Here is a 4,840-nt window from a genome sequence, read left to right as displayed (position 1 = left end):
AATGTGGCAGAATTAAAATTTTTATGCACTGCCGGTGGAAATTTAAAATAGTACAACCACTTTAGGAAACAATATGGCAGTTTCTTTAAAAATTAACTAAATGCCTATAATATGACTCAACCATTTCACTCCTACAAGTCACCCAGCAGAAATAAAAGACTTGTATACAAATGGTCATAGCAACTTTATTTATAATATCCCCAAACTAGAAAACAATCCAAATGTTCAACAACAAAGATAACTGTTATACAAATATGGTATATCCACAAAGTGGAATACTACTCAGCAATAAGAGGAATAAGCTATTAATATACACTACAGTATGGATGAATCTCAAAACATTATGCTGAGTAAAAGAAGCTGGACAAAAAAAAAAAAAAAGAGTATGTGGGCCGGCACAATGGCTCATGCCTGAAATCCTAGCACTTTGAGAGGCCGAGGCAGGTGGATTGCTTCAGCTCAGGAGTTCAGGACCAGCCTGGGCAACATAATGAGACCCTTGTCTCTACAAAAAATACAAAAAGTATCCGGGCATAGTGGTGTGCACCTGTCATCCAGCCTGGGCAACATAATGAGACCCTTGTCTCTACAAAAAATACAAAAAGTATCCGGGCAGAGTGGTGTGCACCTGTCATCCCAGCTACTCAGGAGGCTGAGGTGGGAGGATTTCTTGAGCCCAGGAGGTGGAGGTTGCAGCGAACTGAGATTGCACCACTGCACTCCATCCTGAGCAACAGAGCCGGATCCTGTCTGAAAAAAAAAAAAAAAAAAAGTCTGTGATTTAAGTGATGGATTTGTAATGTTGTACTTGGCCAGTCTAAACTGTCCAAGAATTCTACTTCCTGTATGTTTCCTATCAGAGTTAGCAACAAGGGACTTTAGACGGTGGGAAAAAGGCAGCAGCTACTTTGAAGCAGCATCTGGGCCTACAGTTGCTCTACTACCTACCCTTGGATTCACCAGTTTTTCTGACTTTGGGACCATGTATGTGTTTAGTTCTGTGACAAAGCGCCCTGGCTTCTGCAGGATACCCTCATCACCAACATCAGAGGCAACAAGAATGGACAAGAGTTTCAGCCTGTCCTTGTGAGGCTCCAGCTCATGCTTCCCCATGCCAGCCCACTTGTGATCGTCTTGACTTTTTGCCCAGTAGACTTCCAGCTCTAGCATCAGACATGGAAACAGCCTTAAAGAGACTCCTTGACCAGCTGCCACAGTTGCATAAAGCCAATTTCCTGTAGCAGATTGATACATATATTTTACCCCCACCCTACTCTCTTTTGTTGAACCCTGACTGACATAGATACAGGGTCCATACTGTATGGTTGCATTTATATACAATTCTGAAAAATGCAAACTAATCTGTAGTGCAGAAAACAGAAAGTTCCTGGGAATAGGGAGGAGCAGGGAGGGATGGAAGGAAGGGGTTACAGGGGAATGAAGAAACAACCTTAATGGGTGATATGTTTACATTTTGATTGTGGTGATGGTTTCACAGTTGTATACATAAGCCAAAATTTATCAAATTGTGCAGTTTATTTTGTGCCAATCATACACACTGTTAAAATTTTTTTTTAGTGCAGAAAAGAATTGGCACACCCCCGACACTAATTTCCTAGTTTAAGCTGCCTGGAAATGAAATTCTAGGAATGTTTCGGGCTTTGTTGTGCCACCTCCACTATGCAGAGGAAGTTGTAAAAGATAAATAAATGACAGGAAGCTCTTTTAATTCACTCTTAAGAGAGACATAGCAAATTTTGGTCTAGAAAGAAATGTAACAAAGTGTGTTTTTATTTTCCTTTTATCTATACTACTATGTTTTCCCACAATAAACATGAAGTAATTTTGTAATTAAAATAAAAGGAAAATATGGCACATCCTCCGGATGTATTTTTCTTTCTCACTGAAAGTCCCTTTTATACGTTTAAAGAAATATGCTGGGTGTGGTGCCTCAAGCCTGTAATCCCAGCACTTTAGGAAGCTGAAGCGGGTGGATCATCTGAGCTCAGGAATTCAAGACCAGCCTGGGAAACATAGCAAAAATGTATTTTCTCTATCAAAAATACAAAAAAGTAGCCGGGCATGGTGGTGCATATCTGTAATATCAGCTACTTGAGAGGCTGAGGTGGGAGGATGGCTTGAGCCCAGGAGGTGGAGGTTGCAGTGAACCGAGTTTGCACCACTGCATTGCAGCCTGGGTGACAGAGTGAAACCCTGTCTCAAAAAAAAAACAAAAAAACAAAAAAATACAAAAAAAAAAGGAAATAAATAAGAGAAAATAGAATTTCACAGGATAAGCTTCCTAGAGTAAATGACTATTGTCTGTGACACAAGAATCTACAAAGGGTCTGTGAAGCTATGATATTATAACAGAAATGTGGAATACTCTCTGACCACTAAGACCCCATCAGTAAGGATTTGGTTATTTAATTATTTTATTAAACTTACCATTATTTTATTCCTCTGGAAGGCTGAGGTGATGTGTTCTGAGAAAGCAAGAGCATTTGCTTTAGAAACAAAGTGGGTTTATTGATGCATATTACCTTGGGCTTCTCACCGGCCCGCTTAGCACAGGACATGAAACACCTAGGGATGAAATGTTCTCTGTTGATTTTTTCTTTTCAATGTGAAATGTACAGTTTTTGAAGTCACAACGTTGGCACAATTAAGAAGTTTATCTGACAATAACAGAACCCAAGGAAATTGGTTAGTATTGTGTTTCTAGAATACTGTATCTTCCTGTTAGTTTAACAAACTTTCAACCAATCAATCATCAACATCTTTTTTTTTTTTTTTTTTTAGACAGAGTCTTGCTATATCACCCAGGCTGCAGTGAGTGGTGCCATCATAGCTCACTGCAGCCTCGACATCTCAGGCTCAAGTAATCCTCCCACCTCAGCCTCCTAAGTATCGGGACCACAGGAGGGCATCACCACACCCAACCCTTTTTTTATTTTTTGTAGAGACAGGGTTTCCCAATGTTGCCCAGGCTAGTCTTGAACTCCCGGCCTCAAGCCATCCTCCCTCCTTGGCATTACAGGCATGAGTCACCGCACCCGGCCCATCTTCATCTTCCAAAGACACTAAAGACAAATCAGACCAAAGCCCTGTCCCAAGGAGGCTCAACACATTACTTTACTGTAATGCAACGTATGCGGAGACAACCACAGAATGGAAAAGGGAAGCACAGGGGCACCTACCAAAGCTTTATTAGCGGGGAGGGGCTGCAGAATCAGGGAAAGCTTCTCAGAACACATGGTGCTCAATCTTAGTTGACTTTGCTTGGTGGTCCTTTCAAGCAGACAGACTTCTTCCAAGGCCTGGGCCTTTGGGACCAATCTACATAACTACATAGAATAATTTATGTTTTGCCTAACAAGAATCCAATTTCAAACTTTTGCTTTGCTAGCAGATGTTTGGCCTTCTCTGCTTCAGAGAAAGGGGAACTTCAGTCAAAGGCAAAAATAGAAGATCATCCTAGGCTTTTGAGTTTCCAAGGGCCCAGCCCTGGTATGATGGACATTTTAAGGAATTAAATTCAGAGTGATTTTAACTTCTATGCATGATTTTTGCCTTCTATGCTAATTTTTTAACCTTGCAACTGAATCAGAATGATTCCACTGTACAGTGTTTTAAAAGAAAAAAATGTTACCTCTAGAATTTTACACCCAGGCAATTCAACATTCATGTATTAAAAAGAGACATTCTCAGATATGCAAGGATTCATGTATCCTTGAAAAAATTATTTGAAGATGTACTACAACAGAGCGATAAATGAAGCAAATAAAGGGCATTAAGAATGGAGCTGTCAGTCAGGCGTGGTGGCTCATGCCTATAATCCCAGCACTTTGGGAGGCCAAGGCAGGTTGATCGTGAGGTCAGGAGTTCGAGACCAGCCTGGCCTACATGATGAAACCCCATCTCTACTAAAAATACAAAAAATTAGCCGGGTATGGTGGCGTGCACCTGTAGTCCCAGCTACTCAGGAGGCTGAGGCAGGAGAATCGCTTGACCCCGGGAGGCGGGAGCTGCAGTGAGCTGATATCACGCCACTGCACTCCAGCCTGGGTGACAGAGTGAGACTCTGTCTCAAAAAGAAAGAAAGAAAAAGAACGGAGCTTGGTAATCCCAGCTACTTGGGAGGCTGAGATAGAAGAATCACTTAAATCTGGGAGGTGGAGGTTGCAGTGAGCAAAGATAACACCACTGCACTCCAGCTTGGGCCACAGAGCAAGACCCTGTCTCAAAAAGAATGGAGCTGTCATGTATAAAAGGGTAAATGCTGAGTAATTAACCAATTTAAAATAGAAATGTGCCTTAAAAATACATTGTAATTTTGATTATAAAGCCGAATGATATTACCAAAAATTATTTTCCAAAGAACAATGATATTCTGAATCCAAAATTCTAATGTTAATAAAAACTAAGGATGGGTGATTAAAAAATAAAAGTGTGTCAAACTTCTTATCTTATAAAAATACAAGATACTGTTTCATTCCTGACTCTGATAAGAGAGGAAATATAGGTTAAAGTATATTGTAAAACATAAGGCAACAGAAAACTTGGTAGTTTGAAAGGCAGAATGAAATATAGGGTATAGGCTGGGTGCGGTGTCTCATGCATGCAATCCCAGCACTTTGGAAGGCCAAGGCAGGCGGATCACAATGTCAGGAGATCAAGACCATCCTGGCCAACATGGTGAAACTCCGTCTCTACTAAAAATACAAAACTTAGCTGGGCATGGTGGTGCGTGCCTGTAATCCCAGCTACTCAGGAGGCGAGGCAGGAGAATCGCTTGAACCAGGGAGTCGGAGGTTGCAGTGAACACAGATCGCGACAA

Source organism: Homo sapiens, chromosome 3, assembly GCF_000001405.40.
Source record: "Homo sapiens chromosome 3, GRCh38.p14 Primary Assembly".
Classification (NCBI taxonomy): Eukaryota; Metazoa; Chordata; class Mammalia; order Primates; family Hominidae; genus Homo; species Homo sapiens.
This window is presented reverse-complemented; position numbering follows the sequence as displayed.